Raw genomic sequence first — 12,710 nt, 5'->3', positions numbered from 1 at the left:
ATAATGCGATCTCGGCTCACTGCAGCCTTGATCTCCGGAGCTCAAGTGGTCCTCCCGCCTTAGTCTCCTGGGGTTACAGGTGCACGCCTCCAAGCCTGGCCTACATTTTATTTTAAATGCCATTTACCTTTGTGATGTAGGATAACCTTAGAAGATGACGAGGGCTAGCCCAGCCTTGGAGACTGCATGAGTCTGGTGGCTTCGGGAAAAGGGGAGGTCTCTAAATGGGGCCCTGGGAGGGGAACTCGGGACTATGTGGAGAGAAGACGTCAGGCTTGGATCTGGTGAAAGTCAGCCTGGCATGGGGTGAGGGCAGGGCTGTACTGTGCTTGGGATGAATGTAAAGGCTGCACCCGGCATCACTCCCCGGTGGCCGCCAGGTGCTGCTTGGCATGCGGATGTCAGTTCCTGTGGGTGCGCCCAGGACTGAACGGACTTCCGGGCCACGCCTGCTCACTCACCTGGTAAGCCAGATCCCACCCTTCTCATGCCACAGGGAGAGAGGAGTCTGGGGGAGAGGGCACACTCTCCCACTGCTCTCCCACTCATTCCCCCGTTCCTGTGGAAGGAGGGTTCGGTGACAGGATGCCAGCAGCCCGCCACCTCCACACCCAGAGCCACGCTCCTCCCTGCATCCCGCACGGTCCCACACGGGGCACATCCCGGGGGTGACTTCAGGCCAGCAGGCCTTGGAGCCACAACGCCGCAGGCTCACCCCACCACCGACCCCACCTCGGCCGCCAGCTCCCCTCTGCTCTCCTGGGGCAGAAGTGGCAGCCCTGAGACACTGCCACCCAGCAGCAGCTCACACAGCGGCAAGGACAGCAGTTGCAGTGCCAACACGTACTAAGCACAACTGTATACTGGATGCTGCCCTAAGCTCTCATACAGCTTAGTGCTGACGGTATACTGGGCGCTGCCCTAAGCTCTCAAATGGACCCTCTTTCCTTCTTTCTCTTAATCATATGCTCAGCAAACAGGCATGTTCAGGAGGCGGACAGGCTCGAGAGCGAGCCCCGGTCTACATCCCCATTCTGCTGGCTGACATGAGCTTCGTGCCCTCAGAGACGCCCTGAGCCTCCGTGAGCGAGTCTGTAAAACGAGGGGAGCCCGGGGCACGGGCACAGTGCCTCGACACAGCGGAGTGCCACCAAACAGCCGCATCCTGGAGAGGAGAACACGGGAGGGGCAGACACACGTGAGTGCCACGCAGGTCAGAGGATGCGACACCGTGTGCAGAAAGGTGACAGGACAGGAGGGGATGGAGGGAGGCGCCCCTGGGGACCGTCCTGGAGCCAAACCTGGGGAAGTCTCCGCAGCCCGGTGCACACGGACGCAGGCGTTGTTCCCCTTTTTGGGCGATAAAACCGAGCCACACACAGGTCGAGGGCTGCCTGGGCTCACAGGGGAAGCGCAGGCCTGGGTTTGAGCCCAGCCCACTGGCTGCGCAGCCCCCAACCTCGGTGGCCTTTCCGACTCACTCTACCCGACCTGTGTAGATGGGACCGCTTGGGAGGCCCATATGTCCTGCCCGCAGCGGCGACCCCAGGCAGGAGAGCCTGTGCCCGGGAGGATGCCCCACCCTCGGGGCTGGATTTACTGCCCGGGATGAAGGACATCGCGCGGCCTCACCGCAGGCTTCCCGGCTCTCCACACATTGGTCACCGCGCCCAGCTGTTCAAGCAGCCACATCCCTGACCAGCGGGAAGAAACGAGACAGCTCACCAAAGGGGAATCCAAATGTCTGAAAATATTTTCACCCATATTTTCCCCACTCTCACACACTTTTACAAACTCAGCTCAGAGATTCATGAGGAACTGCCCCACCGACAGCCTCCTGGGCAGCCCTGCCAGCCCCTGCCCGAGACACTGGCACAGACAGTGACGTCAGCTTGACGTCCCACGCACCTTGCCCCATTGGCAGCCACACTGGCCCCCGCCCGAGACACCGGCACAGACAGTGACGTCAGCTTGGCGTCCCACGCGCCGCGCCCCGTCACGCCGACAGCCACGCCAGCCCCTGCCCGAGACACCTGCATAGTGATGTCAGCTTGGCATCCCACGCACCGTGCCCCGTTGGCAGCCACGCCCCTGCCCGAGACACTGGCACAGTGACGTCAGCTTGGCATCCACACCTGCCCCTGCCCGAGACACCGGCACAGACAGTGACGTCAGCTTGGGGGGTCCCAAGCGCCGCACCCCGCATGAAGGTGCTTTTTTTTAATCAGGAAAAAGACGAAGGCGGAGGGTCGGCTGGGACCCTGTCCTGGGTACTGCCCTCCCACCCCACCCCTCCTCTGCTGTCTTTAAAATGAAGGTGTGTTTGCTGCTGTTGTGATTGTGCCTTTTATCTGAAGGGAAATCGAGCTGTGGATCTCACCTTCTTCGCCTTCCGATCTAAGGGAGGGGAAAATCCTACCCACCCAGGAGGCAAACACGTCTCTTAACTGGAGGCAGATCTCCAAGGTATCTGTGGTGTCATCTTCACCCAGGACCCCATTCCCAGCTCACACAGCCACTTCTGGTGCTAAAATGGGATGGGATCACCTAACCTCTCCCTCTGAAGTCTCTCTTGACTGATGGCACCACCGTCCACCCCAAATTCCAAGCCTGACATCGTGGGGCCATTGACGATGACTTCTCGCTCCCTCTCTCCAAGAAACATCCCTAAGCCCCGTCCCTCCTGCCCTGAAACCTCTCTCCAGGCACCCTCCCCCTCCCCTCCCACTGCCACTTCTGTGGCTGCGATCCTGGAGCCTCATCCCACGCCTGAACGACTAGGGTGGTCCTAAGCCACTTGTTTCCATGCAGTCCCTCCCGACTGCCACCTGCTCCCTGATTTCCTTGCTGAAAGCTGAGTCTCATTTCACATATCTCCTAAAAGCCCTCCTGGCGGTCTCTGTGGCTAACAGTCAAATTCCTGGACCGGTGTTGACCCCAGAGCCCTCAGGTCGGCCCCTACTGCCCACCAAGCCTCTGCCCAGGAACACCCACCATGTTGTGTGCCCGGCGCTCCCCCGCCACCATGTTCACACGAAGACATCACGTGGCTTCACCGGGGCTGTGCCATCGTGTCTCCATCACCAGATCCTCCCCCAGCCTCTGTCAGTACAGCCTCTCTGTGGCCTCCCCATGCCCCGCGCTACCTCTCCCTCCGCGGCAGCGCGTGGTAATCTCTGGCTTAAAAGCCACCTTACTGCAGAAGCGGGAGCTTCTCAAGGCAGCGAGCCGCTCTCTCCTCACCCCCATGGCCCATGGACTCCTGCCTGATGCCCGCGCACGTTTGGCAGAGACTGAGCCGGGGCTGCCACTGTAAGTATTTTGGGGTTTGCACCAGGGTCTGACCTCAGTGTAGACACCCTTACGAGATGAACACACATTGCAGAGAAATGTTTTCTTTTGTCCTAGCTCAAATATAATGTGAAAGTCAGTGCTTTTAAAGCCAGAACTGAGGTGAACTTTTCAGTGTTCCCGATGTTCTGTAGATTTACAGTATAGGAGACCTAATGCAATAAAAATGATTGGCTACGAAACACCAAGGGGAGAAGGGTAAGTTACGTAAGTGCCAAGTTCCACCTTTCCCCAGCTAGAATATTCAGTGTCCATTTCACAAAAACGAGACTGGGCTGAGAAGCTTCCACATCATTATTCAGTGGGCCCAGCTCACTGCTTCAAACTCAGCTTCCTACAGGCCACGCTTATTTCCCTAATCCACTCCCAAGGAACAGACGTGCAGCCACTGAGGATGAGACGTGGCCACCACAGACGCACGGCGGGAACGTCTGGAGCACCTGGGTGGGTGGTGGCTCTCCCCACAGGAGCACGGCTTCCCCTTCCACTGCCCTCACTGAGATGGGGAAGTCGGGCACATTCCGACTGGGCCTCATGACATCAGGAAGCACGGTCGAGGTTTAGGCAGATTCTTAGGTATACATCCATTGGCTCCCACTAAACATGGCCAAGTATCTCCTACAGGCTGGGTATCCCATATCCAAAATGCTTAAGGCCAGAAATGTTTCGGATTTTGGATTTTTTTCAGAGTTTGGACTATGTGCATATACATAATGAGACATTTGGGACGTGACCCGAGTCTAAACACAAAATTCATTTATGTTTCACGCACACCTCATACACGTAGCTTGAAGGTAATTTTATACACTGTTTTAATTTTGTGCATGAAATAAGTTTTGACTGTGACTGTCGGGTCAGGTGTGGATTTTCCACCTGTGATGTCATGTCAGAGCTCAAAAGTTTCAGGTTTTGGAGCATTTTGGATTTTCTAATTGGGGCACTCAACCTGTAATAAAAAGGGAATACTTGCCTTGTTTAAATAAATATTTTAAATACAGTGAGATCACTAGGGAGGGTAAGACAGGTGCTTTTAACAAGAAATTGTTTTCGTGGGCTGAATCCCACATAGGCCAAGCCCTGTGGAGTCGGCTGTGGTTGAGACCAGAACCAGCCAAATCCTGCCCTGCCAGACATGACTTCCGGTAACTTAACCCGCAGGGAAGGGCTCCTGGCTCTGAGCAAATGACCCCCTTTCCCGGCCAGGGAGCACAGACTGCTGCAGAGCATGAAAATCAGGGTCACAAACAGCAAACGCCAAATACACTCAAAAAAGCAAATTTCAGTTGCATCCTGAGCTGTCATCTTGAGGGTCTGTCTTTATAAAATCATTTGCAAACTTCTGATAGATTTTTGAAATACTTAGCAACTTCTAATAAAATTTCCAATGTTCTAATGAAGTCACACTTTAAAAATCTGCTATTATTTCCTTGTGGAATGAGTACTGTAACTGGATAATGTGTCTGAAAGGTGTTCGTATCCTGAGAGACACCCCCCAAAACACAGTGAATCAGGTCCTCAGAGACACCCCCCAAAACACAGCGAATCAGGTCCTGGGAGATGCCCCCCAAAACACAGCGAATCAGGTCCTGGGAGATGCCCCCCAAAACACAGCAAATCAGGTCCTGGGAGACGCCCCCCAAAACACAGCAAATCAGGTCCCGGGAGATGCCCCCCAAAACACAGCGAATCAGGTCCCACACAACGTGTACAAAGTTAACAGAAGCAGGTGGCAGGCGGCCGGATTTCGCAGAAAGCCTCAGTGAGGGCAGTGCTGTGGCCACACTCAAGTTCAGCTGAGACTGCTTCCTGGAAGGAGAGCTCCTGTCCCGTCCCCTCCTGCAGGCCCCACAGAGCAGCTGGACCCAGGTACAGAGCCCCAGGTGCAGAGCCAGGTGGCGGAGGCCGAGCAGGCTTTCTTTGTTTTTGTCTCTGTGGCAACAATGTACCAGCAAACACCTAGTTTACTGTCACATGGCTGCAGGGTGGTGGCTCAGGGGAGGAGGCAGCGGGTTTTCAGGAGCGCATTCAGCCAGCTGCGCTCTCCTCAAAGCTGATAAGCACGCCAGTTCTCCTTACCCCAGGTCATCCCTGCCCGTTGTTTAGGGAACAGGGACTGATTCTTTGCTTTCCCTGCAGCATTGGGCCTGGCCTGGCCTGGCACAGAGCAGACGCTGGGCACACACTTCCCAAGTAAGTGAAGAAGGACGGGATGAAGAAAAGCACCCCTGGGACCTTTGTCATCTTCTGCTAATTCATTTGTTCTTAGCTCCACACAGAAAGCAGTTTGGTTTTCTGAAAATTCGTGCCTGTACATAGAAGTCGTGGAAAGTCCTCTGAACTGCTCTTGGCAATCATGGAAAGCAAAGGTCTCCTTGCAAGAGCAGACCCCTCCATGTGATTCTGAAGGAAACTGTGCGAGGGTCTCTGCCAGCCACTGCTCCCCGCCTCGGCCACCGGGTGGTTTATTATGTCACACTTCTCAAGGCACCGTATGTGGGATAAGCACTTGCACTGGGTTTGCTTAGCACACTCTTTACTTTGTCCTTGAAAAACAGGCTTCTCTGGGGTGAAGACAAAGTGGTCTCCTGTCCCCGAACTTACCTGACACTGCAGGGTTTGGAACAAATATCCCACGACAGGGCTGGACCTGGTGTAGCCACCACATTCTGTAAGTTCCAGGGGTCTTTAAACATAAGAAAGTGACGAAGGGTGTGGTAGTTCCTGCACTTTCAGGATAGACAAGGTTCCCACAGATCTGAATGGTTTAACACAGGGGTCTGCAAGCCCCGAGCCACAGACCGGTACTGGTCGGGCTGCACAGCAGGAAGTGAGCGGCAGGTGAGTGAACAGGGGGTAAGCAGGAGGTGAGTGGCGGGTGAGTGAGGACTGCCTGAGCTCCGCCTCCTGTCAGATCAGCAGTGGCGTTTGATTCTCCTAGGAGCGAACCTATGGTGAACTGTGCATGCGAGGGATCTAGGCTGTGAGCTCCTTATGAGAATCTAATGCCTGATGATCTGAGGTGAACCGTTTCACCCTGAAACCATCCCTACCCCTGATCTGTGGAAAAGTTATCTTCCATGAAACTGGTCCCCGGTGCCAGAAAGATTGGGGACTGCTGGTTTAAGAGATTGGCAAATTAGAAAAGAAAGCATCACTGAACTCGCATGGAGTCTAAGAGCTCAGGAAGGACTCAGGCGTGGTAGCTCCATCCCCTGCTCAGGGAGGACTCGGGTGTGGTAGCTCCATGTCCTGCTCAGGGAGGACTCGGGTGTGGTAGTTCCATCCCCTGCTCAGGGAGGACTCGGGCGTGGTAGCTCCATGTCCTGCTCAGGGAGGACTCGGGCGTGGTAGCTCCATGTCCTGCTCAGGGAGGACTCCAGTGTGGTAGCTCCATCCCCTGCTCAGGGAGGACTCCGGTGTGGTAGCTCCATCCCCTGCTCAGGGAGGACTCGGGCGTGGTGGCTCCATGTCCTGCTCAGGGAGGACTCGGGCGTGGTAGCTCCATGTCCTGCTCAGGGAGGACTCGGGCGTGGTAGCTCCATCCCCTGCTCAGGGAGGACTCTGGCGTGGTAGCTCCATGTCCTGCTCAGGGAGGACTCGGGCGTGGTAGTTCCATCCCCTGCTCAGGGAGGACTCGGGCGTGGTAGCTCCATGTCCTGCTCAGGGAGGACTCGGGCGTGGTAGCTCCATCTCCTGCTCAGGGAGGACTCCGGTGTGGTAGCTCCATCCCCTGCTCAGGGAGGACTCCGGTGTGGTAGCTCCATCCCCTGCTCAGGGAGGACTCCGGTGTGGTAGCTCCATCCCCTGCTCAGGGAGGACTCCGGTGTGGTAGCTCCATCCCCTGCTCAGGGAGGACTCGGGCGTGGTAGCTCCATGTCCTGCTCAGGGAGGACTTGGGCGTGGTAGCTCCATGTCCTGCTCAGGGAGGACTCGGGTGTGGTAGTTCCATCCCCTGCTCAGGGAGGACTCAGGCGTGATAGCTCCATGTCCTGCTCAGGGAGGACTCGGGCGTGGTAGCTCCATGTCCTGCTCAGGGAGGACTCGGGCGTGGTAGCTCCATCCCCTGCTCAGGGAGGACTTGGGCGTGGTAGCTCCATCCCCTGCTCAGGGAGGACTCCAGTGTCGTAGCCCATCCCCTGCTCAGGGAGGACTCGGGCATGGTAGCTCCATCCCCTGCTCAGGGAGGACTCGGGTGTGGTAGCTCCATCCCCTGCTCAGGGAGGACTCCGGTGTCATAGCTCCATCCCCTGCTCAGGGAGGACTCGGGCATGGTAGCTCCATCCCCTGCTCAGGGAGGACTCCGGTGTGGTAGCTCCATCCCCTGCTCAGGGAGGACTCCAGTGTCGTAGCCCATCCCCTGCTCAGGGAGGACTCGGGTGTGGTAGCTCCATCCCCTGCTCAGGGAGGACTCGGGTGTGGTAGCTCCATCCCCTGCTCAGGACAGAACGTCCCTCCAGGCCGCACAGAGCTGCCGAGAATTAAAACGCACCACACCCGTGCACCCACAGGCACCAGCTCCGCAGGGAAAGGTTCACGTGCCCGGGCCCTGCTCCCCACACCGGGCAGGTGCTGGCCTTCTCCACGACTTTCCTTTCCACTATTTTAGAAATACATTCTTATCATGGCAGGGCTGTACCCCAAAGGTGCTTAACAACCTTTTTGGCTCACCATGTAGAATTAAAAAAAAAAAACACAGTAGACGAGGACCACAGAGAGCATCATGCATCCCGGGCAGAGGCAGCTGCACCACCACACACGGTGTGTACATGTGCGCTGCCACAGATGCCGTCGACTTCCCTCTGAATCGGTGCAAACTCCTGGTCTCAGCCCCAAGACGAGTGGCATGTGCACCTCCAGAAGGAGGCCTCCTCGCCCCGCAGCCTGACCCTGTGACTCTCTTCTAAACACACTGTTTATTCAGAGCAATCTTCTGATGCCCAGCCCTTTTCCCCTTCTCTGAAGAACAAAAATATAGAGCAGGATTCCAAGTAACTGTGACAATGGGTGTGTGTTGCTTGGATGAGGCTGTCCCCTTGTGGGCTGGGCAGGGTCAGTTCTGGTCATTTCTCACAGGTCCGCTGTGACGAGGGGGACAATCCCATCACTGTCCGCCCACAGCGATGGTGCTCATGGGTACTTCCCACACCCCTGCCAGACTTCACACTTTCCAGACACACACTGGCCCCTTCCAGGCCCTGGACAGGGATGAGAGGCCGGATGGGGGCGAGGGAGCCCAACGCCCAACCCTCTCACCACCGTGCAAAGACCAGCAAGCCACAGTATGGAGGACTTCCCTTTCCTCTGCCACTACCATGGAAGTGAAAACGTTGCATGCAGCGCAGGCCGAGACCTCACACCCGGCCTCCTCCTTAGTCTGCCAGACCGTTTTGGGCAGAGCAGCTAAAATCTCTGAACTCCAGGACTCAACTGTGCGGCTGCAGAAGGCCAACTCTGCTTCCCCTGCTGGGCCTCTCCGACTTGGTTTTAATTTGTCTGAGGAAGGGAGTGTGAGCAGTGAGTGAAAAGCAAGAGAGGAAAAAGACCAATGGGTGCTGGTGCTGACCTTGTGCTGGGTGGATCAGGGGGCAGACAACGAGCCCTGGGCTGCGTCCACAAGGTGTGCTCCAGGCGCACGCCACCCTCTGCGTGGCTGCAGACAACAGCGTTTCGGGAAAGCGCTGGAAGGGGCAGGTGGAGGGAGATGCCTTCTGGGACCCCATCCAATCTGAACCTGAACAAGCTGCAGAGACCCTGCGGCCCGTGCTGTCTGCGGCCCTGCAGCCGGGTGAAGGAATGGCTTCAGGGAAAGGCAGCTCCACTGAGTGAGTTCACCGGGTGCCATCTGTGTAAAAGGACCCACCGAGATGGAAATGCGGCAGCCCAGGGTGGCTGTGGCCCCGCGACCTCATGTGCTCCAGCTCCGACACTGGCTCCGAGTCCCACCTGAAACCTCCCCGGAGCCTTGGGCAGGACGCCAGCTTGTTTTCTTATCAAATCTAACTGCATATTGGCCAAAAGTGGCTCCTGCCACCCTTGAGGCATCCCCACAGTCCTGAGAGAACCCTAGACGGCCCTGGCAGAGTGCAGCGTACGCGCCACTGTTGGGGGAGCCCCCACGGTCTGTGAGGCAGGCAGGGGAGTGAGGGCGCAGTGCAGACCCGGCTGCAGGACTGAGGCCCCGTGGGCAGGGTTGGCACCCTCGGCCCAGTGTCCACCCACAGGCAGGCAGGCCCGCCCAGCAGACCCTCCGATGGGGCTTCCCTCCCTCAGGGGGTCCCCAGTGTCACAGAGAGGTTTGCGTGGCTCTTGCGTTTCTGTCCTAACCAGGGGGCCCAGGGGACCGCCTGTCCTCAGAGACACCCCGTGGTCTCCCGGGAGCACCGCCACTGTCTTAAACACCCCTGTGCGGTGGGTCCTCCGAGGGCAGTGGGACCGTGGGGAGGTGGGAGGTTTGGGGGAAGCCCAGGTGTGAATGGGGCGGTGGTGGTGCTGACGTCTACTGCTGTGTCCTCCCACACCGTTCGTGGGACGCTCTGACAACCCTGTGATGCGCATTTCTCTCCGTGACTTCCTGACTCTCCTCATCTGCAGAACGGGTGAGTTCAGAAGAGAGTGGATGCAGTTTTATAAACAGCAAAGCTGCAACTCTGAGGACAAGGACTCAGCACTCTGGGCCCCGGGAAAGCGCCACATGGCATCCGGCCGCGGCCCCATCCTCACAGAGACTGTGTCTTCACAGGCAGGATCAGACCCCGACCGCAGGTCATGCCAGGCAGACACACAGATGGCATTCAGCCAGTGAAGGGGCGAGCCCTTGTTCCAGGGCATTTTCTGGATTTCGAGGTGGAATGAAGGAAATGCCTTCTGAGGCAGGAGACCTGCTCAGCCCCACGCACGGCCCTGGGGGCTCACTGACCACGGGACGGGAAGAGGAAGAGTGGCCGGGGCTCACAGCTCCCTGCACGGCTGACCGTGGGAAGCTCTGCATAAACCGGGCTTCGGTGTGCCGGGGCCGATCCTCAGGCACGTCACCGGGTGTCCCATGGTCAAGGGGACCAGCAAAGTGTTCGGTCACGGCCTTGTCTCTGTCCTGCACCTGCAGCCATGGCCCCGGGACATCAGAGCTCTCAAGACGCGGGGCAGCCTGGTGCAGGCTGAGCCCCCAGCTGTTTGCACAGTTTGTGAGGCTCAGGCTTGCCAGACAAAAGGAGGTTATTTGCTTTTGGTAACTGTGACATAAATTAGGATCAGATGATAACTTTAGGGTGAAAAGCTCATTTGCTTCTCATCCCCACTCCCTGAGCTACTGCAAATTCCACAGGGGACACAGACTGCCCTGTGGAGCACGGGGCATCCACAGAGGGCACCTCCATGCTGCCTCACCCAGAGGCCGCCTCGACTGCTCCGAGCACACCACCTGCGAGGGACTCACAGGGGACGAGGAGACTCACCCTCAGCCACGGACAGCAGCCAGGAGCACCACTCAGAATACAGGTAGTAGCTTTTCATTTCCGCCACGGAAATCCGGACAGCCTTTCCGTCCCCCATGGCGAGGATCAGCTGCCGGGGAGGACGCGCGCTGCCCTGGGCTCGCCACAACCCTCTCCTTGTAACAGGACCTTTCTATGCTGAACTTTGTCCCCTAAAATCTGCATGAGGGACCAGCTGGCTTTTTACTTTCATTTCACCCACTACCTGGGACAGAGTACGCCAGGCAATTACCCTCCTGGAGGCCGATTCCTGCTCCGCCCTGATGTTTACATGCAGGTCCAGGCGACACACCGTGCCCGCCCGAGAGGAACTTGAGGAAAAAGGAACAAGCCTGAGCTATTCTTGCCTTGGGTCCAGGCACAAGGGACCCCGCTGGGGGCATGGCCTCCCTTGCTTTAAACAGGCAGCCGGAAGATGAAACGCAGCAGGTCTTCCGCTGTGCCTGGGGAGCAGCATATTCCTGGGGAGGCTGAGCCAGAGAGTCCTGTCGGGGGTGACTGCTTGCCAGTCTTCCTCCATCTGATCACGGCCCCAAATGCTGACACCACTGGCAATTGGAGGGATGGACAGAAGCAGAGCGGCCTCTGAAGGAGGATGAGCTGCACAGAGACACCGGGACCTGCATCCTGACGCCCTCTCCCCTTCCAGCTTTCCTTCGAGGGAGTCAAGTGTGATTGCTGAGGGATTGGTTCCTCCCAGAAGAACAGCTTTTGTTTGTGCACAGTCTTAGATCCACACGTTTTCCTTTTTGCACGCGCTACTAGGAAGCTTAAAGGGGAATTCCGCTGAGATCACTCACCCTGGGTGCCTCAAATGTATTTATCTGCTTCTTATGGTGAATCCTGATTCTGTTTGAAACTTCCTGTGCCAATCTCAAACACGTTTTATGAAGAGAATTTCTAGGCCGGGCGCAATGGCTCATGCCTGTAATCCCAGCACTTTGGGAGGCTGAGGCGGGCGGATCACATAAGGTCAGAAGTTTGAGACCAGCCTGGCCAACATGGCGAAACTCCATCTCTACTAAAAATACCAAAAAAATTAGCCAGGTGCGGTGGCACATACCCGTAATTCCAGCTACTCGGGAGGCTGAGGCAGGAGAATCGCTTGAACCCAGGAGGCAGGGTTGCAGTGAGCCAAGATCACACCATTGCACTCCAGCCTGGGTGACAGAGCGAGACTCCATCTCAAAAAAAAAAAAAGGAGAATTTCTAAATTCTAAGTAAAACAATCTGTTTTTCTTGGCTTAATTGGAACTCAGCTCCAAATACCCCAGGGCAGGGCAGCACAGGTGGACCCTGGGAGATCCGGCACCCGGCGAGGGTGCTGCTGCCTCTGAAGTATGGTGGTATCTCTGCCACCATGCCATGCAGGACAGAGGGGAGATGGACAACCCTGGCACCGGCCCCAACCTCCACTCAGTAAACAGACAACATCCACTCTTGGTTATCAGAAAATCTCCACCTGCAGCTACATTTTCTCCCAGCACCGTCTCCTCCGGGCAGAGGAGGCTCCTCCTCCATGTGAGTGGAAGTCCACCTGCCTCCTAACCCAAAGGGGCTCTTTTCAGTGCTCAACCCAAGGAAAACAGCTGCAGCACGGGGAGAGGTCTGTCCACAGAGATGCAGAAGCCAGCCTGACCCAGACACACAGGTGGACGGGTGGAGGAGGAGGAAGCCAGGCAGAAGGGAAGGCCCAGGAGGCTGCAGACACCACGCTTCCCCGGGGCCACAGTGCGTCAGAGCACTGAAGTGTCCGTCACCGCCTCACATCCTGATGACCAAGGGCAGAGCCAGCGAGATAAGGCAGGGGACAGAGCTGTAAAGAGGCCACAGGCATCTGACGCTCCTCCCGGCTCCCTGTCTCCGCCT

At 57.2% G+C, this 12,710-nt stretch overlaps 1 protein-coding gene across 20 annotated transcripts in view, besides 1 other annotated feature; it reads right to left on the bottom strand.

The window, feature by feature from the left end:
• Positions 1–12,710, bottom strand: part of MCF2L (MCF.2 cell line derived transforming sequence like) — a 205,408-nt gene that overhangs the window by 103,461 nt on the left and 89,237 nt on the right. Inside the window, exon 1 of one of the 20 annotated variants that reach the window (XM_017020494.2) lies at positions 10,803–11,795. The exons of 18 other annotated variants lie outside the window; for them this stretch is intronic. In XM_017020494.2, the coding sequence (XP_016875983.1) occupies positions 10,803–10,899 (97 nt within the window). In that variant the 5' untranslated portion in view covers positions 10,900–11,795. Of the gene's footprint in view, positions 1–10,802; positions 11,796–12,710 lie in introns of those variants that run through there. One more of the 20 variants, NM_001438764.1, reaches the window with a different exon arrangement.
• Positions 9,756–10,753: an enhancer, noted in NCBI's record as "H3K4me1 hESC enhancer chr13:113639843-113640840 (GRCh37/hg19 assembly coordinates)". NCBI's record gives its function as "activates a minimal SCP1, AML or CMV promoter by ChIP-STARR-seq in primed H9 embryonic stem cells {active_cell/tissue: H9 hESC(primed)}" and the evidence as "EXISTENCE:reporter gene assay evidence [ECO:0000049][PMID:30033119]".

Source organism: Homo sapiens, chromosome 13 (genome assembly GCF_000001405.40).
Source record: "Homo sapiens chromosome 13, GRCh38.p14 Primary Assembly".
Taxonomy (NCBI): domain Eukaryota; kingdom Metazoa; phylum Chordata; class Mammalia; order Primates; family Hominidae; genus Homo; species Homo sapiens.
Note: the sequence above shows the minus strand (reverse complement) of the source record. Positions and strands in the feature narration are given on the sequence as shown.